At 41.6% G+C, this 22,005-nt stretch overlaps 1 protein-coding gene across 2 annotated transcripts in view, besides 1 other annotated feature; it reads left to right on the top strand.

Moving 5' to 3' along the window:
- The window catches only part of C2CD3 (C2 domain containing 3 centriole elongation regulator), a 158,285-nt gene that overhangs the window by 117,156 nt on the left and 19,124 nt on the right, over nt 1-22,005 (top strand). Inside the window, exons 27-31 of one of the 2 annotated variants that reach the window (NM_001286577.2) lie at nt 4,305-4,510; nt 5,509-5,642; nt 11,629-11,793; nt 16,149-16,369; nt 19,569-20,496. In NM_001286577.2, the coding sequence (NP_001273506.1) occupies nt 4,305-4,510; nt 5,509-5,642; nt 11,629-11,793; nt 16,149-16,369; nt 19,569-20,496 (1,654 nt within the window). Of the gene's footprint in view, nt 1-4,304; nt 4,511-5,508; nt 5,643-11,628; nt 11,794-16,148; nt 16,370-19,238; nt 19,406-19,568; nt 20,497-22,005 lie in introns of those variants that run through there. The other variant, NM_015531.6, reaches the window with a different exon arrangement.
- Nucleotides 15,997-17,196: an enhancer, noted in NCBI's record as "CDK7 strongly-dependent group 2 enhancer chr11:73747696-73748895 (GRCh37/hg19 assembly coordinates)". NCBI's record gives its function as "activates an origin of replication core promoter dependent on BRD2, BRD4, P300/CBP, MED14 and CDK7 cofactors, with strong dependence on CDK7, by STARR-seq in HCT116 cells {active_cell/tissue: HCT116}" and the evidence as "EXISTENCE:reporter gene assay evidence [ECO:0000049][PMID:35650434]".

The following is a 22,005-nucleotide window of genomic DNA, read 5'->3' as shown; positions in this document are numbered from 1 at the left end:
CATACCTGGCCTATTCTCCTACAGAATTCAAGTACTTAAAAATTATATAATTTTGACTACCTGCTTAGTGCAGAAATCCAAGTACATTTCAGTCTTTCCTGTTGTATCTGTCAACCATCATAACGTACAGCCTGCCACATACAAGTGGCTTCCCCCCACGTTTGTATGATGATATTAAGCCTTCTGTTGACTCTGGCTTATTAACCAAGACCCTTGCATTATCAGGTAGTACACAAGAAGAAAGTCTAACCACATATTTTTTCTTATTTTAAGAACCTTCCCAAGAGGGATGTGCTGATATTATGGTCTTTGGACCCAGTTTTATTAAGAGGCATAACACAGCAACATTAAGAGGCTTGACTCTGAAGCCAGATTCTTTGGGTTCAAATGCCAATTCTGCCCCTTACTTTAGCAGTGTGACCTTGGGTAAATGACTTATCTGTGCATATTTACATATCTATAAAATTGAGGCTAATAATAGTACCTACTTCATAGGGTTTTTGGAGAATTAAGTAAGGGCCTGACACTTAGTAAATACCGTATCAGTTTTTCTTGTTTTTATTACCGAGCAATAATGTGCTAAGAACTTTACAAACATCTCTAATTCTTGACGGTAAAAATAAAATTAGTCTAATTTTATAGCTGTAAAAGCTGAAGCCCAAGGAAATTTAGTGGCTTGACTAAGGTCATATATCTATTAATTGGTGGAGCCAGTATTTGAACCCAGTTCTTACTGGCTGTACAGCCTTCACTGTTTGTTCTTCACCATGCTAGTAAGATTGGAAAACTTGGAAAATTGAGGTGATGAGGACTTCTAACCATCTCACAGCTTAGAAAATTTTATCTCACTAAATCTCTCCTCTAAGTCTAGCTTCTTTAAGATTCCAGCTAGGCCCTGATTTCCAAATCTTCATTTGTTTTAAGTCACCTACACAGCCTACAGAGTCACAGTTTTTTGTTTGCCAGTGGTGATATTTGGAGCTAACCTCAAACCCTAGTAAAGACCTGAGAGAAATCAGAGTGTAAAGGGAATTGACTGACCTTTCTCTCTGCCTGTGCTCCTGTTGGTGAGTGCTGCTGTGAGTCCCTTGTTTTGATGATGAGTTCTATGTTGCTGCTTTGGATTCACTTAGTTCCTCCACTGCTACCCAACCTCATAAATACAGCAAGAGCTGATCATAACTCGCTTTTCTCTGAATCAACACAAGGAATTCTTGCTGTATTTAGCTGGGCTCCACCCTCCTTTCTAGGCTTTTTCTCTCTTCTCTCTAAAGTACCACAGAGATTCTGAAGCAGACCAGGGTTCACAAGTCAGCACTTATTTTAGCAGGAAAAAGAGAATAAACTTTGGTCTTATGCAGACCTGAGTTCAAATCTTGGCTCTGCTGTTTACTATAATAACTATGTGGCCCGAATTAAATCACTTCACCTCTTTCCTGTTATCTTTCTTATTTATAAAATTAGAATAATAGTACTGGCCTTGCAGAATTTGTGAGGATTAGAGATAATATATGTAAAGTACTTGGCACATAATTATTGCTTAATAAATGGAGCTATTTTTATTATTATGTCTACTATGTGTCAGGTACTATGCTAGGACTATTGGAGTGTAGAGAATAAAATACATTCCCTACCTTCCAGGACTTCAAGAGGGTCTTGCTAAGATCTGGTCATAAATGAAAGTGAGGAAAATGCCTAGACCACACTGACCACTACTTAGTGTATGTAGATGTCTCTCTCCCCTTAGCCCACTTATGCCTGGTGTTCCATTATTGGAACGCTAAGCTTGTGGGAGTTATTTATATCCTACTGCTCAAGGTCATGACCAAGGTCTGATTTTTTACAAAAAAATTTGCAGACTCTAGCATAAATGGGTTAATTCTATCTTTTCCACACAAACTCAACACATCTAGTATAGCAAGTACTCAAATCCAACCAAGCTGTGTTCAGCAGATGTTTTATTTAAGTTTCTATTCTGTGCCAGGCACCATGCTAAGTACTAGGGATACAAAGGTAAAATAAAACAGGCATGGTCCCTGTCCTCACAGAGCTTACAGTCAGTGTGGGACATAAAAAGTACAGTATAGTATGATTAGACAAATACAGGGTACTCTGATAGGAGACGTCTAACCCAGACTTAGGATGTCAGAGAAGGCTTCCTGGAGCACACCTGAACTGAGGAATGAAGGGGCAGGATTTTTACTGTAGTCAGAGGGGAAAACAAATACAAAGTTTCAAGTCAAGAAAGAGTTGAGGGAAGTTCTTGTTGACTAGAATATTAACTGCAAAGGGAGAATGGTGGGTTGTCCTGTTAATCCAATGTTAAATTTAACTCTTCCAAGCCATTCCTTTTCTCTGTGATCTGCTTAGCCAAAGCACTCCTCAAGTATGTTTAGGACGTACTACCTTCATTTTAGGCAGAAACCTCCATCATACTTCATCCCCAGTGGGTAAGAATTACTTGACCCCCACTCTGGGGAATACAGCTTCAAGTGTTTATAGAATCAAAAACTTTCCAAGTTGAAGGGGATCTTTTTTTTTTTTTCTTTTTTGAGACAAGATCTCACTTTGTTTCCCAGGCCGGAGTGCAGTGGTAGGATTATGCTCACTGCAGCTGTGAACTCCTGAGCTCAAGCAGTCCTCCCACCTCAGCCTTCCAAGTAGCTGGGACTACAGACATGCACCACTATACCCCACAAATTTTTTGTTTTGTTTTGTTTTTTTTAGAGATGGGGTCATGTTATGTTGCACAGACTGGTCTCGAACTCTTGGCCTTAAGCAATCCTCCCTCCTCAACCTCCCAAAGTGCTGGGGTTACACGCATGAGCCACCTGCTCAACCAAAGGGGATCTTGAATCTGGTTCAGTACTTCTCATTATATGTGTGTGACTGAGGCTCAGGGAGTTAGAGGAATATGTTTTCCAGTCAAAGCCATACCTAGATTTGCTATTGTGGCACACTGCTCCTTTGTCCCACTCTAGGTTGGCCAGTTTACTTGTGCTTTCAGTGAATATTTATCAAGTTTTTCATGCAGGAAGATGTTATGCCAGGTATGGAGAGTGTAGGGAACATAGTGTAATACCTTTTCTCACCGTTTAGCTAGGTTCCAGTCTAAAGGACAGCAAGCTGTCCAAACAAATGTTATGCAGTATGTGATGAATTTAGTGTCACCAGGAATGTGCCCAAGGAACTGTGGGAACTTCACGATTACTCCTCTGGAAAATATGCATTCCTTGATTTATTAAGCAATTTATAGACCTACAGTTGTATCAGTGTTTGGTAGATCCAGCCTTTGATTTCACTATACAGAATGGAGCCTATATAAAATAGAAATTCATGGAGTGACAGAGACCTGTGTGTCCCCAGCTACGTCATGTCAGAAATGAGGAATAAGTAGCAAAGAATATGAGAATGAAGGTCATTGCATGGTAGCTTGTCCAATAAAAAGAGAATCTTCTCAGTCATTAAAGGCAGCCCCCTTACCATGTAGAGAAGAGCCTGAGCCCAGACTCATTTTGCACCCTAAACTGTTCTCCAGGGAGTTGTTTTTCCTTTTTAATTTGCATCACTTTGTTCTTAATTAAATATAATGCATATGTAGAAAATTTGGAAAATATAGAGAAGTATAAATAGGAAAATGCAAATCTCTCATAATTCCATAATTGCAAGACATACTGCCCTGAGAAAAATCACTGAGACATGATAGCCTAGGAAAAATAAGTTCTTAAATTTAGTGTTATTTTCTAATTGCCTATATCAAGAGGACCAGCTAGGTGGGGTGGCTTACATGTGTAATCCCAACACTTTGGGAGGCCAATGCAGGAGGATCACTTGAGGCTGGGGGTTCAAGACCACCTAGGCAACATAGTAAGACCCCATCTCAACAAAAAAATTAAAAATTAGCTGGGCATGGTGGTGTGTGCCTATAGTCCTAGCTACTTGGGAGACTGAAGAGGGAGGATTGCTTGAGTTTGCGAGTTCGAGGCCGCAGTGAACTATGATCATGCTACTGCACTGCAACCTAGACATCAGAGTGAGACCCCATCTCTTTCAAAATGAGAGAGAGAGAGAGAGAATGAAGTGCAAGCCTGTCAGCTTTTTCCCACCATACAGAAAGGGAATTCCTAACAGGGAAGGCAGGCTTTGGTTGCCAGTCCCTCTCAACTTCATTATCTGTCTTCTCTGATGGCTTTGGGATCACTAAATTCCTCCATCCCCTGAATCAGCTTCTCTGTGTGCACCCTCTAATCTCAGTGGCAGGACATGCCTAGCCACATTGCCCAGCTCTTCTCTTTCCTCTACAGATGAGGAGAGGGTGATTGGCTTTGCCTCGGTGGACCTCTCCCCACTTCTCTCTGGCTTCCAGTTTGTCTGTGGCTGGTACAACATCACAGACTTCAGTGGAGAGTGCCAGGGGCAGATAAAAGTTGCTGTCTCCCCTTTGGAGAGTTTGATACACTTCAAAGAAGAAAGGCAAGCAAGGCGTGGAGTGGAGACCTCAAAATCACTGGTATGTATGGAGATTCACATCCCTAACCAATACGAATTGTACTGACCTATAAGAACATCCTTTACTCATGTTTGGCACTCTCCGGCTTATAGAATACGTTATATACTATATGTGTCTCATAACAACCTCCTGACCTTTTGGGGTGATGAAAATGTTCTGGAATTAGTTAGTAGTGATGGTTGCACAACTTTGAATACACTGAAAACCAGTGAATTGAGCTTTTTAAAAGGATGAATTGTATAATACATTAATTATATCGCAGTTTCCAAATAAAACAAGGTTGTCATATAGAATCTGAAACTCTATCAACTGACTTGTTTTTCAACTCTGTTACATTGATATCATTAGTCTTTCATTTAAAAAAATAATTGAAAGAATATGAAGAGGGGAATTGATCACGGTAAGCGTAGACAACTCTTTCAAGGAGTTTAACTGTAAAAGAAAGAATTTCCCAGACTATCAAAAATACGGGACCTCTATCAAGGCAAAGACTATGTTTTCTATTCATCTCTCTGTCTCTCGTGCCTGGCCCAGGGTCTGGCACAGAGTGGTCATCCATAAATACTGGATGAAAGCATGCATAAGAAAACAGAGTTCATTGGTCCCAATATAGGAAGGTCATTTCTTCGGCCCAACCCTGGTAGTCCTAAGACAAGAAATTTCACAGCCAGATTATCCTCATATGTAAGGTAAATGTAAAATGATATCCATTCAGGCATTTACAGTGTATTAATAGCTGGAGGAACAAGAGCATAAATATAGATAAAGCAACTGAAAACAAATCTGATAGCATAGTCTGTAAAATGAGTATAATAATAATAGTTGCCTCATAAGATTATAAATGAGAAAATGTATGTAAATTGTTTAGCACAGTGTTTAACACAAAGTATTCAGTAAATTAAATGCACACAATAAATTTTACAAACTTATTTATATACTGCTTTGTTACGAATGGGTTTATGGTGACAAGTGTACCATTTTTCTTGTTGTGTTTACAGATCCCAATATACAGTCCCTTTTCCTTCCCTGCCTCTGATACGTATGCTGCATTCTCCAGCCACATGGCAAGGCAGACCCTAGACCAACTTGCTCATGCCTCCTCAAAGGAGCTTGATTTCTCCTCTCCTGGGAGGTGAGTGAATTCTTGATGATGAGAAGAAATGGGGTTAAAAAATGGAAGTGTGTGAACTGGCTTATCATTTCTCTCTTTCCTTTATTAGAGGAAAAAACAAGACAGGGTAAGAGCTTTGTTGATCTTCTGTCACAACTCCAAAAACCCCAAGATCGTATGAAAACAAAGTTTTTATAAGATAGGAGCTAGAATTTGTACTGCTATCAGAAGGGTCACTTCAGTACAAGGGACAAGTTTCTGTTATCCTCAAAGGCCTTTAACCTTTATCCCTAAATTCAGTCATCAACTATGTGAGAAATACATCTTCTTTCCCCTGCTAAAACTATGTGCCAGTTTATTTTACAAAAAGCAACTGGTCCATCCTTTTCACCAAGCCAGCCTTGAACATGCATATGGCTCTCAGGGCTAGAGCATGTTCCATCCTATACAAGGACAGGGTCTAAGAATAAGGTTGCTGCTTTCCATTCTACCTCTTTACAGGCCCTAGAACCATCTGAAGCACCCCGCTGCCTACACCAGAGTCTTTCCTATGTCTTTCTCTTCAGCTCAGGGAAAGGGCAAGGAATCTTGCCCTACAGCAGCCCTTCCTACAAGAGCAGTTACTGAGCAGACCCTTTTATTCCAAGAAGACACTAATATCATGTAACATTCTAAGGCCCAATTCAGGGCTACATAGTTTTCTACTTGATCACCACATGAAGAGATCCTTGGTCCTCTGTACAAAGAGAGCTATGTATCTGTCAATTCCTAGATCCCAGATTTTAGATAATTCCTTTGTTATCTCTTTTATAAAAGTGTCACTTTGACCATACCCACAGTGGGACACATGGGTAGGATGAGGATATCTCTAATGCCCACCCTTTAGTAATTTTAAAAGCTAAAAGGTTAATGGCTTGCCTTTTGTCCACATAAAGATGTCCCTGTTACCACTTCAGAAGGGCCACATCGAAGTGTCATATTATATACAGACAGCCATTTAAGGCTAGGCTATAATTCACTCTCTAACCATCTTAACAGAGATCCAGCTCTTCCTGACCCTGCCCTGCTCAAGGGACAGGGTGGTAAAGTGGGCTGTGAGGTCAGACAGATCTGGAATCCTATCCTGGCTTTACCACTTACTAGTTACATGTGACCTGAGGCTAATTACTTTAGTTTTCTGAGCTTTAGCTTTCTAATTTGTAGGATGAAAATAATATAGTACCTCAAGGGCTGTTACAAAGAGTAAATGAGAATAGAAATAACTCACTTTTATATGGACTTTATATACATTAGCTCACTGGGTTTTCACAGCAGCCTTAAGAGAGAGGTTTTATTACTAATAATACTTGTGAAATGCGTAGAACAGCAGTTTCCAAACTTTCTGGTCTTTGTGCTTTATTTGTAATAACCAAAAACTATAAACAACTCAGGTGTCCATCAACAAAGAGGTGAACAAATAACAAAATTGTCGTATATCCATACAATGAAATATTAATACTACTCAAAAACAAGAAGAAATGCATTACTGATAGACAACAAAATGAATATAAAAATAATTATGCTGAGGAAGAGAAGCTAGACGAAAAAGAGTACATTGGGCCAGCCATGGTGACTCAGGCCTTTAATCTCAGTGCTTTAGGAGGCTGAGATGGGAGGATCGCTTGAGGCCAGGAGTTCAAGATGATCCTGGACAACATAGTGAGACCCCATCTCCACAAAAAAATTAAAAATTTGCCTGCCTGTAGTCCTAGCTACTCAGGAGGTTGAGGCAGGAGGCTCACTTGAGCCCAGGTACTTAAGGGTGCAGTGAGCTATGATCACACCACTGCACTTCAGCCTGAGTGACAGAGTGAGAACCTGTCTCTTAAAATAATAAAAAGTACCTTGTATATGATTCCATTTATATAAAATCCTAGAAAATGCATCCTAACCTATAGTGACAGAAAGCAAATCAGTGGTTGCCTAGGGACAAGGCAGGGTGGATAAGGAGGAAAGGAGGAAGGAATTGCAAAAGACAAGAAGAAACTTTTGGAGATGGTAGATATATTCATTATTTCATGGTAATGGTTTATTTGGATGTATACATGTGTTAAAATTCATCAAATTGTATTCTTTAAATATGTAAAGTTTATTTTATGTCAGTTACACATTAATAAAGCAGTGGTTCTTAAACATTTTCACTTCAAAACCCTTTTATACTATTAAAAATTAGTGATGACCCAAACGGGTTTATGTGGGTTATATCTATCAATTTTTACCATATTAGAAATTGAAACAGAAACTTTTAAAACATAATAAGCAAAATCAATTGTATTTCTATATACCAACAATGAATAACCAAAAATGAAATTGAGGCTGGGCGTGGTCTCTCATGCCTGTAATTCCAGCACTTTGGGAGACCAAGGTGAGAGGATTGCTTGAGCTCAGGAGTTCGAGACCAGCCTGGGCAACAAAGTGAAACCCTATCTCTACAAAAAATCAAAAAAATTAGCCAGGCATAGTGGTGCATGCCTGCAGTCCCAGCTACTCGGGAGACTGAAGCAGGAGAATTGCTTGAGCCCAGGAGGTCGAGGCTACAGTGAGCCATGTTCATGCCATTGCACTCCAGCCTAGGCAACAGAGTAAGACCCTGTCTGCCAAAAAAAAAAGGAAAGAAAAAAGAAAATTGAAAAAGGTCTAAATAAAATCAAAGACATCCCATATCTATGGATTAACAGACTTAATATTTTTACGATGGCAATATTCTCCACGTTGATCTACAGATTCAACACAATCCCTATCAAAATTCCTGCTGGCTTTGTGGAAATGGACAAGCTGATCTTAAAATTAGTATGGAAATTCAAGGCACATGGAATAGGCAAAACAACCTTGAAAAAGAACAGAGTCCCTAATTCCAAAGCTTACTACAATGCTACTGTAAGCAAAACAGTACTGGAATGAGGATAGAAATATAAATCAGTGGAATTGAATTGATAATCTCAAAATAAACCCATGTGTCTGTGGTCAACTAATTTTCAACAAGGATGCCAAGACTAATGAGGAAAGACTAGTCTTTTCTATAAATGGTGCTGGAACAACTAGGTATCCACATGCAAGTGATTGAAGTTGGACCCCTTCCTCAAACCATACACAAAAATTAACTTCAAATGGGTCACATATCTAAATGTAAAAACTAAAACTATAAAACTCTTCCTAGGAAGCAGAGGAGTAAATCTTCATGAGCTTGGATTAGACAATGATTCCTTAGGAAATGACACCAAAAGCACAAATAACAAAAGAAAAAAATTAGATTCATCAAAATTAAAAACTCTCACAGCCATTAAAAAAAAAAAAGAACAAAATCATGTTCTTTGCAGCAACGTGGATGCAGCTGGAGGCCATTATCCTAAGCGAATTAACACAAGAACAGAAAACCAAATACCACATGTTCTCTCTTATAAGTGGCAGCTAAGCATTGGGTATTCATAGACATAAAAAAGTCAACAAAAGAAACTAGGGACTACTAAAGGAAGGAGAAAGGGAGGAGGACAAAAGTTGAAAAACTGACTGTTAGGTAATATGCTTAGTACCTGGGTGATGGGATCATTCAAACCCCAAACCTCAGCATCCTGCACATACACCCTCAGATCTAAAATACAAATTGAAATTATAAAAATAAATAAAAATTTTAAAACTGGAATTTTTACACTGCAAGTGATACCATCAAGAAAGTGAAAAGACAACCCATAGAATGGGAGAAAATATTTGCAAATTATAGCTCTTTTTTTTTTTTTTGAGACAGTCTTGCTGTGTTGCCAGGCTGGAGTGCAGTGGCACGATCTTGGCCCACTGCAACCTCCACCTCCCGGGTTCAAGCGATTCTCCTGCCTCAGCCTCCCTAGTAGCTGGGACTACAGGTGCACGCCACCACACCAGCTAATTTTTGTATTTTTAGTAGAGACAGGGTTTCACCATATTGGTCACTATGGTCTCGATCTCTTGACCTTGTGATCCACCTGCCTCGGCCTCCCAAAGTGCTGGGATTACAGGCGTGAGCCACTGTGCCCGGCCAGTTATAGATCTTATATCTAGAACATATAAAGGGGACTGGGTGCAGTGGCTCACACCTGTAATCCCAGCACTTGGGGAGGCTGCGGTGGGAGGATCGCTTGAACTCAGGAGGTCAAGACCATGTTATTATTTTTTATAGAGATGGGCAACATGGTGAGAGCCCATCTCCACAAAAAATTAAAAAACTACTCAGACTTGGTGGTGCACATCTGTGGTCTCAGCTACTTAGGAGGCTGAGGTGGGAAGATCACTTGAGCCCAGGAGGTCAGGGCTGCATTGAGCCATGCACTCCAGCCTGGAAGACAAAGTGAGACCCTGTCTCAAAATAATATATAGAATATATAAAGAACTCTTACAACTCAATAATAAAAAGCAAATAACCAGTTTAAAAATGGGCAAAGGATCTGAATAGACATTTCTTCAAAAAAAGATATACAAATGGCCAATAATCACAGTAAAAGATGCAAATCAAAACCACAATGAGGTACCACTTTATATCCACTAGGGTGACTGTATTTAAAAAAAAAAAAAGATATCTCAAGCCTTAGGAAGGGGTAGATAAATTGGAACCCTTATACATTGCCGGTGGGATAGTAAAACACTGCAGGTGCATTGGAAAATAATCTGGAAGTTCCTTAAACATGGAGTAACCATATGACCCAGTAATTCTGCTTCTAGTTTTATGCCCAAAAGAAATGAAAACAAATGTCCACACAAAAACTTGTACACGTATGTTTGTAGCATTATTCCTAATAACCAAAAAGTAGAAGCAACTCATGCCCGTCAACTGAGTAGATAAACAAAATGTGGTATATCTATCCAACAGAATATTATTCAGCTGTAAAAAGGAATGAAGGACTGATACATGCTGTACTACAGATGAAGCTTGAAAACATTATGCTAAATGAAAGAAGCCAGTCACCAAAAAACACATATTATATGATTCCATTTATATGAAATATCCAGAATGGGCAAACCTATTGAGGCAGAAAATAAATTAGTAGTTGCCTAGGACCAGGAAATGTAGAATGGTTCTAATGGGTATGAGGTTGTTTTGTGAGTGGTAAAAATGTTCTAAAACTGATTGTGGTAACAGTTACGTAACTGCATATACTAAAAACCATTGAATAATACACTTTAAATAGGTGAATTGTATGGCATGTGAATTATATCTCAATAAAGCGGTGAATTAAAAAGAGATTGTTGGAGTCATGATCTTGAATATCATGCTCAGGAATTTGAGATTTGTTTAAAAGCCAAAGCCAGAAAGGAATGGTGATAATCACATGGCGTAATATATGTTGAATGCTTACAGCAGGGCTTGGCATATAATAAGGACGCCAAATATATTGTTGTTATTGTTGCTCTTGTTATTATTACTTCAGATTTATGGTTTTTGGTTTTGGGGGGCTTTTTTTTTTTTAAGACAGAGTCTCACTCTGTCTCCCAGGCTGGAGTGCAGTGGCATGATTTCTGCTCACTGCAGCCTCCACTTCCCAGGTTCAAGTGATTCTCCTGCCATGGCCTCTGGCGTAGCTGGGATTACAGGCGCCTGCCACCACACCCAGCTAATTTTTGTGCTTTTAGTAGGGACAGGGTTTCGCCATATTGACCAGGCTGGTCTCGAACTTCTGGCCTCAAGTGAACCACCCACCTCAGCCCCCCAAAGTGCTGGGATTACAGGCGTGAGTCACCACCCCCGGCCAGATTTATGTTTTAGAAAAATCACTCTGCTTGTTGTGAAGAATGAGTTAAAAGGGGGTAGGCAAGATTGAAGACAGGATTATTTTGGAGACATTTATAATCCAAGCAAGAGATGATAAGGCCAGAACTGTGATAGTGGGGATAGATTTGCATTCCATTTCAGGATAGTGATTTGTTTATTGTCACACTAGCAGTGTTCTCATTGATTGGGAATTTATTTTGCTCCTACTTTTTTTTTTTTTTTTTTTGACAGAAGTGATACCACAAGAAGCCAAGCATCACGCCATGAAGAGCATGTGCAGAACATTCGCCGGTTTCATGAATCCCTGCATCTTCAGGGAGAGGCACCCTTGCCATGTGATGACAAACTGACCACATCACCTTTGTCCTCCCAAACCTCCATTCTGACTTCTCTCAGGTGAGGCTCTACTGAGAAAAGACACAGGAAACCATAGTGGGGCACAAGGTGAATGAGAAATGGCAATGTGCATTACTGCTTTTCCATCACCTGCCACCGCCCTAGGAACATTAGTAGAGGGCTCTTTTGCATGTTAGTATCAGGTTGGACCCTGGAGCCTCATGGGATTCCTCATAGATGAATCTGTATCAGCTTGGGACCTTCCATTCCTTCAGGGGGCTCTGTTACTGATGCACCTGTAAATGTAGGAGCTTCAGATTGTTCACCAAAACTTAATAATAACCAGCCTCACAACCTCACAACCATTTACTTCGTCCAGACCAGCCTCTGTCCTGTTAACTCTTTTCTGTTCCTTTCTTAGTTTAGTTAGCACCTGAGCCAGAGAATCGCTGTGAGAATTGAAAGGGTGATGATAGATCAGCTAGATCAGCCCCTAGCTTATCTAATGAAAAGTGTGGCACAGTGGAAAGGACATGGCTTCAGGGTCAGATAGACTTGACCTCCAATCCTTGCTCTGCCCATCTCAGTGGAGGAGATAGCCATGTTGCCAAATAATTATAATGCAGGGTAGTAAGAGCTGCAATTTCCCTGGCCAAGAGTAGACAGGGGAATGCCTAATATTCTGGATTGTTCCTGGAAAGATTTAAAGAAGTCACATTTGAACTGGTCTTTGGAGGACATTTTGTGCAGAAAGAACTTACGCCAAGGCTCAGGGGCAAGTCAAGTTTGGGGAAATGCCAGCAGTGCATGTAGGAAAAAGCTGAGCATAAGATGCAAGAAGCAGGGTGAATTTTTTAAGAGTCACATCATGAAGGTCCTTGAATGTCAGACTAAGAATTATTACCCTTAGAACAATTATTCTTAAGTGAAAGGTGTTGGAGGAAGGAAAGGAGGAGAGTATGTAAAATTTAAGGAAAAATGAAAGTATCAACATTATGTAACCACTTAAAAGAACAATATGGAGGTTGCTACAATCAAAATGTACTCCATCTTTAAAAAGTTACCCATACAGATTTCAGATAATCATGTTTGTCAGTTTTTATTGACATGAGTAAAATCTGTTATAGCACCAAAAAAAAAAAAAAAAAATTTAAGGAAAAAATGTTTAAAAGGGGTGTGTGTGTGTGCGTGTGTGTGTGTGTGTGCGTGTGTGTGTGTGATAGATAAAGGCTTCCTATGCTGCCCAGGCTGGGCTCGAACACCTGGCCTTGCTTCCCTCCTTATTCTCCAGGACAACAGGCCTGAGCCACTGCGGCTTCCGGCTTTTTTGTTTGTTTGTTTTTGTTTTTGTTTTTCTTGAGATGGGGTCTCGCACTGTTGCCCCGGCTGGAGTGCAGTGGCGCAATCTCGGCTCACTGCAGCCTCTGCCTCCTGGGTTCAAGCGATTCTTCTGCCTCAAACTCCCAAGTAGCTGGGATTACAGGTGCCCATAACCACACCCAGCTAGTTTTTTGTATTTTTAGTAGAGACAGGGTTTCACTATGTTGGCCAGGCTGGTCTCAAACTCCTGACCTCGTGACCCCAAAGTGCTGGGATTACAGGCGTGAGCCATTGCACCCGGCCAAAAGACTTTATATTTGAAAAAAAAAAAACTAACCTATTCTTTGATTCATAATGCAAAGTCAGAAAAGAAACATCAACAAAATCTTTTTGGTTAATGAGACAAGTTAAAAATTGATCAATAGTGCTATAGACCAGCAGCCCCAACCTTTTTGGCACCAGACACTGGTTTTGTGGAAGACCATTTTTCTTCCACAAGGGTGGGGTTGGGGGTGGGGGGTGGTTTCCAGATGAAACTGTTCCACCTCCCATCATCAGGCATTATTTAGATTCTCATAAGGAGCGCACAACCTAGATCCCTCACATGAGCAGTTCACAATAGGGTTTGTGCTCCTATGAGAATCTAATGCTGCTGCTGATCTGACAGGAGGCGGAGCTCAGAAGTAAAGCTCACTTGCCCCCACTCACCTCCTGCTGTGCGGCCCAGTTCCTAATAGGCCACGAACACAGCCCAGAGGTTGGGGACTTCTGCTATAGACTATAGGAAACTGCCCAAAGTTATTTTACGAAGAAGTAATATGTTCAGATTCTTATCTTCATATTAGTAAGGTGCTAGAGATTGTAGGCTGTTTAAGTGAAACCATTGATAATTTGGTTGTATTTTTTTGGGTCATTCACATAACCTATTTGGAACCCACTTAAAAAAAGAAACTCCTTCACCTTCGAGTAGTTTCTCTCAACTTTGGCACTATTGACATTCTGGTCAGATATTTTGTTTTGAGGGTCAGTTCTGCGCATTGTAGGTTGTTTAGCTGCATCCCTGGCCTCTACCAACTACATACCAGTAGCACCCCTCTCCCACTTGTGACAACCCAAAATGTCTCCAGACATTGCCAAGTGTATCCTGAGGGACAATATTGCCAGGTTGAAAACCACTGCCCTAGGACAGTAGTTCGCAAAATTTAGTGTATATCAGAATCCCATGAAGGGCTTATTACAGCACTGATTGCTAGGACCCATCCACACAGTGCCTGATTCAGTAGGTCTAGGATAAGGCCTGAGACTCTGCATTTCTAACAAGCTCAGGTGATGCTGCTGCAGCTGGTCCTAGAACTAGGCTTTCAGAACTACTATCTAGAGGAATTCTTTACCAAATGGGCGCGAAACAAGGTGAGATCAATTTGCATAACCTCCTTGGATTCAGAGAGCCCTTAAACAGTGCTGCATTTGAATCACAGCTATCATTTCAGGCCTGCAGAGCAAGTATTAATAAACCTGTGTTTCACAGATGAGCAAAGTACAGCTTGGTGTTCATAGGTTGACATGCCATGGTTCTACATGGTTCTACACTGGTCTAACAAGACCAGTAGATTTGCTTATTTCCCAAAGCTACCCCAAGTTACATTTGTTTGCATGTTCCTCCTGCAGATGTTTATCCATGTGGCATATACCACGATATAGACACCTAAGTGATTTGGTACACACCACCGTGACTTGAGTCTTGGCCTCTAGTGATAGAATAAGGATCAACTTTGTCCTCTCATTTGGATTTTCCTCTAAGATACGCAGACTGTTTCTAACAAAAGGATAGAAAGACTTTCAGTTCATGTCACAGGTATTTGGTGTCCATGCTGTGTTGATTATACCAGGCACATTGAGTGTACTAAGGAAATAGAGAAGTGTGAGATATATCTTCTATTCTGAGACGCCCATGGCCTACTTAGGGAAACTGAACTAACATATAATGAGACAATTAAGGGAAAATCTAAGAAAAAGTTTGATGTGTGAAATGATGAGTGTGAAGGTGTTTAAGGGACAGGTGGTGCAAAGATTTGGGATAATGGACTTTGAAAAGAAGAAATGTGAGCTGCAACCTTAAAAGCTGACTGGAATAGAAACAGAGCAGGGAGTTGCTTGAACTGGGGTTCCAGTATCAGCAGAAGTATGAGGAAGGAACGAACCCAGCTGGAACAGAGTCCATCTCATATGGAAAAAGCATGACTTGGAGTCCCAGATTCTGAGTAGCTACATACTGCTCCCTGCTCTGGACAAGTCACTTAACTTCTCTGAAACTCAAGTTGCTTATTTATAATTACTGATCTCATATGATTAGCTGAAAATTAAACAAGATAATATGTTTAAAAGCATAAACATAAAATCCTATGCAAGTGAAGGTTGGTGTGATTTCTTATTGGAGAATGGTGAGAATGTGGCCCTATTAAAGGCTTTTAAACAGATTTTTAAAATCACTTATTTATGTCCTTTTATCCATCCAGCATTCTTTTGTTTTGTGCCAAGCACTATGCTGGGTGCAGTAGATGTAAAGGAATCAGCCCAGAGCTGACCGTACATCAGGGGAAATAGGTGTTAAATAAATGAGTGATGTGATGGAAGAGTGCAGAAAGAACTATGGAGCACAGAAGAGGAGCCCCTAAACCAATTTAGGGAAGGCTTTTTAGAAGTTGCTTGCCTGAAGGATCAGGAATGGTTATGAGGTAGCAAAGGACAGTGTTAGCGCAGAGTAGGGCTTTATTCTGTCAAAGTAAACAGAAATAAGGACTGGAATGGTGGTCAAGAATGGTTCCTTTCTGAGGAAGTGGCATTTTTGCTGGACATCAGATGAGGAATCGCATTAGACAGACAAAAGGGGGAGAAAGTTGCCCCCAGCAGCAGGATTGTAGTCAGAGGAGTGAAGGATGAGTTGGTGGATTGGAGAGAGAGGGACTTAGTATATTAATAGACCAAGTGAGAGGTATTAAGGCTTTGGCTCAAGCGGTAGTGTCCAGGGGACATAAGAGATGTTCATAATCTCCATGAATTACCCCTTTGTCTTCTTCTCCCCCTTTTGTTTATAGGAAGAATCTGAGTGAGCTTGATCAGATTCAGAGGTACTTCCGCCAGAAGCTCACCAAGCCTTTCCTACCCCTCAGCCCTCAGACTCAAACGGCCATCTCACAGCACCAGGAGAGCTGTAGGGACCATCTTGGGCCAGGTGCCAGCAGCCTAGACCCTGGGAGCCAGTGTATCCTGGAGAAATCCAGTAACCTGGTGTTGCAAGTCAGCTCCTTAATCACAGGTATGACTCAGATCCTTTCTTGTTGAGATGTTATGGTCACTAGGTGCTAATTCAAAAAGCATTTGAATGTGTTCCTTCGGACAAGCCCCTATGACAAATAGAGACCAATTGTTTTCACCCTCTTCCTTTTTTTTTTTTTTTAACCATCTTGCGTTTGAAAAGGAGGGACATAATAGTATGGCACAGCAACATGGGGCAATGGAAAGAGCACTGGACTGACCCAGGTCCTTGATGGGCTTCTGGTACAGACTTAGAGTCTGACTCTGAACGTGTCCTTTCCCTTCTTAGACTTCAGTTTCCCCAGCCAAGAAAAGAGTGGGGTAGATTAGATGAGTGGTTCCTCAATAGCAATTCTTGAACTTGTGCCACTCTCTGAGAAAATAATGAACAATAAACATATTTAAAATTCTAATTATGAAAGCCCAGAAGTCTGCACTTTTAACAAGCACCCTAGATGATTCTGGATGTTAGCGATTCATAGTCCACCCTTTGAAAAACCCCTTTGGAGCAGTGGTTCTCACTTTAGCTGCATATTGGAATTATTGAGGGACTTTTAAAAAACCCCATGCCCAGGCTGTACTGTAGGTCAACAGAATCTCTGAGGTGGAACCCAGGCATCAGTATTGTTTCTAACTCCCCAGGTAATTCTAGTGTGTAGACAAGACTGAGACTGCTCTAGAGCAAATATTGGCAAACCTGCCTGAGCATAAGAATCACCCGGGGCACTTACTGTGAAATAGAGATTCCTGGGTCCTACTCCATCCTTCTGAATCAGGATCCAGGGTCATGACCTAGAAATCTTTATCAAGCAAGCTTCAGGGAACACTGGGAAATCAACTAGATCAGCATCTTCAGCCCTCACTTGTTTTTGCTTGAGCGAAATGTGTAGATTCTACACAGGGATGAAGAAGTTCAATTTTCTTTGTCTAACAGGAGAGAAAAACACCTTGATTAACACTAAGTACAAACCTTCTTTCTGTCTTCTTCTTCCAGATACCTAACCTGTTGGTATCCATGGCCTCAGATAAATGCTCTGTGTTTGACTTCCACTTGCTTGGATATTTTCAGTCAAGTGTTTATTGAGCACCATCTGTGCCAGGCACTATTCTGTTATTTGTCCCAGGAAGATACAGTGGTGGATATGACAGGCATTATCTCCCTTCATCAAGCTTATATTCTATAGTCAACCAAAGAAAAATCCTCTCACAAAGAAAGTATGACAGCAAAACAGATGAAGGCTTGTTTGGAGTAGAGGTGGAAACAAATAGGGGAATCTTTCTAAAGGGGCATATTAAAAGAGGAGAGAGAAGGGAATTGTGGCCAGGCACGGTGGCTCACACCTGTAATCCCAGCACTTTGGGAGGCCAGGGTGAGTGGATCACTTAAGGTTAGGAGTTCAAAACCAGCCTGGCCAACATGGCAAAACCCCATCTCTACTAAAAACACAAAATTTAGCTGGACGAGGTGGTGCGCACCTATAATCCCAGCTACTTGGGAGTCTGAGACACGAGAATCGCTTGAATGCAGGGGCAGAGGTTGCAGTGAGCCGAGATTGTTCCACTGCACCCCGGCCTGGACAACAGAGTAAGACTCTGACTCAAAACAAACAAAAAAAAAAGAATTGAAGCTGTGGGGCCTAATGTTTATCCTGGAAGAAATGGAAAGTTCTCAGCAAGCAGACAACTGAATGAGAACTGGTTTTCACAAGGAGAATGAATTTAAAAAGAGAAAGATGATTAGATCAGGGAAACCATTCAAAAAAAAAAAACAGCAAAAGCCTGCCCCTGCCTCCATTATGCTCCATTATGCCTCAGTATGCTGTTTTTACAAAGCCATCAGACAAATGGATATGAGTGAAACTTGAGAGAGTTACTGAGTGGGGTTTTTTTTAAGCCAGAGCTATATGCTAGGCTAGGCCCTAGAGATACAACATGATTCAGACATATGGTTCATGCCCTGAGAAGCTCACAGTCTGATGGGGTAAACATACAATTACACAGTGTCATATTCTTAAGTGCTTCCTTATAGAACAAAGCCATGTAGCAATCTTATTTAACTCGTGAATCTGGGAAGGCCTCCTGGAGGAGATCCAATAGAACATGGCCTTGAAGGCTGGGCAAGTTTATAAAAAGCAAGAAGACTGCTCTGAGACAGAAAGCATGTTCAGGCCAAAGGATTAGGATTAACTAAACATGCTTCCCCATGCCTATTCCTATTTACAGGTAGTAATGTTTCATTTTCGTCTATCTACCCATTCCTTTGAGGCCTGAAAATCATCAGTGTATAATATTAAACAGCCAGCACCTCCTGTAGAGTGAGCCCTCTGTTAGGTGCTGTGAGGGAGATGTGACCCCTATTCCCCAGGAATCAAATTTGCCTTCAGTTCCTAATTTTCTCCTCTCAAATAATCTTGCAAACATGTATCATTTACTGGGTCTATTTATTAATTGATTCACTCCCATTCCATCCCAAAAATAATTTGAGATGACTAGTAGCTTCTGTTTATTAAGTGGTTATATATTCACCACACAGTGTATGCCCATTTCTTTCGTGTATTCTCTACTGTAACCTTATGAAGTGGGTGGTGTTGATTACACTGTACAGATCAATAGGCTCAGAGAGGATGGTTTGCTTATGATCACAAAGTTAACAAGTGACAACAGAGATTCGAACCCAAGATTGACCGGCTCCAAAGCCTATGCTCTTTCCAACATACCTTGCTGCTTCTATTTTCTGTGTAAATCTTCCCTGCCTTATCATATGGGTGATAGATATTTCCTTGCTTTTATTTTCGAAGTAAAATAGGTAGTTTTAATAACTGTCATCAAATAGGTAAATAAGTGGATTCTCATTTTGATTTTTAATATAGGTAGTTACTGAAGTAACTGGAAGCATGAACATGCCCACCAGGACTCCCAGCTCCCAACGATTCCTGAGCATGAGCAGATAGTCTCTGAAAGCATTTCCACAGATGTATCCACAACTATAGATTAGATTCTGGTCCTCTGATATTAGAATAAAGTACTAAAAATTGTACCGCCTTGAATATAGTCTCACTGAATCTTGGGTGGACTAATTTTCTTTATGGTTTGTTCAGAGTCTGATTGCCATAGTGCTTCTGAAGCTAAAGGCTAGTGTGGGAAATTTGAGGGGTCTGTGGCCCTACCTTGTAATAAGAGTGATATGTGTTGCTGTTCAGATCTGCAGACTATCACCAGGGATTCGCAAGCAGCTTTGAGTTCTCACCGAGCCAGGAGTAGAAGCAACAAGGCCACCACCCTCCCAGATGCTCAGGACACAGAAGCACTGCAAGAACGATGCACAATGCCAGATGAGCCATTGGTAAGAGCTCCAGATAAAGGCACAGATTCCCCATCACCCCCTCCTCTCGAAGAGACTTCAAATGGAGGAAGAATGCTCCATGAGTCCCTGAGGCATGCAGTACCCATTACAAGGATGCAGAGCAGTGAAGACACTGAGGCAGGCCCAGCCTACAGTGATGAGGACTATGAAGAAGACATCATTGAGCCCAGGACCTTAAATGAGATCACCACGGTGACAGACAAAACTAGCCCTTGGTCTAGTGTCATATCAGACACAAGTGAGGTCATCAGCCCTCAGCCTGACGAGGTGCAGAGGGAAGGCCCCTCTTGTCCTTCTCCAGGGCCTTTCTGCAGAGAGGAGCTTATGGTCAAAAGTAGCTTTCTCTCCAGCCCAGAAAGGGCTGTCAACCCCCACCTGCCTAGGCAGGGTTCTCCTAGCCAAAGTCTTGTTGCTTGTGAGTGTGAGGCCTCTAAGGCCAGGGTTGGTGGCGAGTCTGCCTCAGCCAACCCTCAGCCCATCCCATGCCCAACACTCTCAGGAGCTCAACAGAGCAGCACGTTTGTTGGATGGAGCTCACCACAGACAGATCAGAACAAGGAGCCCAAGTCAGAGGCCCCAGCTGAGAATGAAGCTGCCACCAGTGAGCTCGGTGACTCTGCTGATAGCTTCAAGAAGTTGCCGCTAAATCTAGCCTCCCAGAGCAGAAGGGAAAACCATAAGGGACCACCCATCGACTCCTCTGACATCAGGCAGAGGCAGGTGACAACTGGATCAGAGACGTCCACAAAGCAGAGCCTCCTGCTGTATCCTTTGGCATTTCCCACAAGTGGTTTGGATGCAGGTACTTAGACTAGCCTAGTGTGAGTGTGAGCAAGTGGCCACCCTCATGGAATGCACTAGGGGGCATGGAAAGACCATTCCTTCAGAAGACCCCACCTGCATGACAGGTGCTACAGTTTTACCATTAACACCAGCCCTCAGAAACATAATGCCTTGAACTGGGTTTAGGCATTCGTAGCACATTAGCCTAGCCTACCCTGATTTATCCAATTCATCTGTTGGGTATTTTACCACCTGAAGGCAAGGCTTGGGATCTAAGGAATGAGACTATTTATCAGTTGAAAGAGAAGCAGAGGGTCTAGAGAAAGAGGAAAGAAAATCACTGCCATTGAGCACTTTATGTACATTTTTCATTCAGTCATCACAAGTCTTTTAGGTAGGTATCATCCCTATTTTGCATATATAAGGAAACTGATGCTCAGTTATTGTGACTTGCCTTTTTTTTTTTTTAAGAGACAGGTTATTCTGTCACCCAAGCTGGAGTACAAGGTTATTACCATACCTCACTGCAGCCTCAGATTCTTATACTCAGGTGATCCTCCCACCTCAGCCTTGCAAGTAGCTAGAACTACAGGTATGCAGCATCACACCCAGCTAATTTTTTTTAAGAGTTGGGGTCTTGCTGTGTCACCCAGGCTGGTCTCAAACTCCTGGCCTCAAGCAATCCTCCTGCCTCACCCTCCCAAAATGCTGCAGTTAGAGCATTTGAGCCACCACGCCTGGCCAGATTAAATTTTTTTAAAAAAGGAAGTGATGGAGCTAAACAGGCACCATGGAGATGGACTTTCCCAAGTCCCCAGTAAGGTACTGTTGATGGGAACAGGGGGCACCTGACATTCCCCACTCCTTCCTTTTAAACACAGACTGGCATGTTATGGGGAAAGGAAACCACTTAGGACCATCTACAGCCTTCACACCTGTAGCCTAACCAGCTGATCAGATCAGCTCACCTGCTATCCCAACAAGCAGGGAATATTGTACGGCTGGCAGGTGAAGCAGGCTGCTTTACTAGACTAGAGATCTTCCTCTACTAGAAGTCAGGGAGCCTGACTTTGACCCTTCTAGACCCACAAAATTATTTTTGTGATTATAGACATATAGTTTAATCTTTATGTGCACGTTTCTTCACCTGTAAAATGGAGGCGGAAATCCCTTACCCACCAAATTATAAGCTCCCCAGGTCAGGGACCTTGTCTTTTTCTGCATCCTCAGGACCTAGCACTACACAGAGAAGGGATTGGTAAATGTAGATTGGATTGAACTATCACAGTTTCACAACATTGTTGAGAAAACCAAATGAGTGGAAACATTTGTACACACCACACAGTATGATTCTTGATGCAGATCAGAGAAAAACCTAGGGGTGGGAGAGTGGGCTCAGGAAAGGATTAAAGCATGCAATGGCTGGAGGCTGAGCTTTGAAAATAGACCTCCTTGTGTGCAGTTCTCCCTGGCCTTGCCCATCCTGGATC

This window comes from Homo sapiens, chromosome 11 (assembly GCF_000001405.40).
Source record: "Homo sapiens chromosome 11, GRCh38.p14 Primary Assembly".
NCBI lineage: Eukaryota > Metazoa > Chordata > Mammalia > Primates > Hominidae > Homo > Homo sapiens.
The sequence above is the reverse complement of the archived record's forward strand: the minus strand, read 5'-3'. Positions and strand labels throughout refer to the sequence as shown.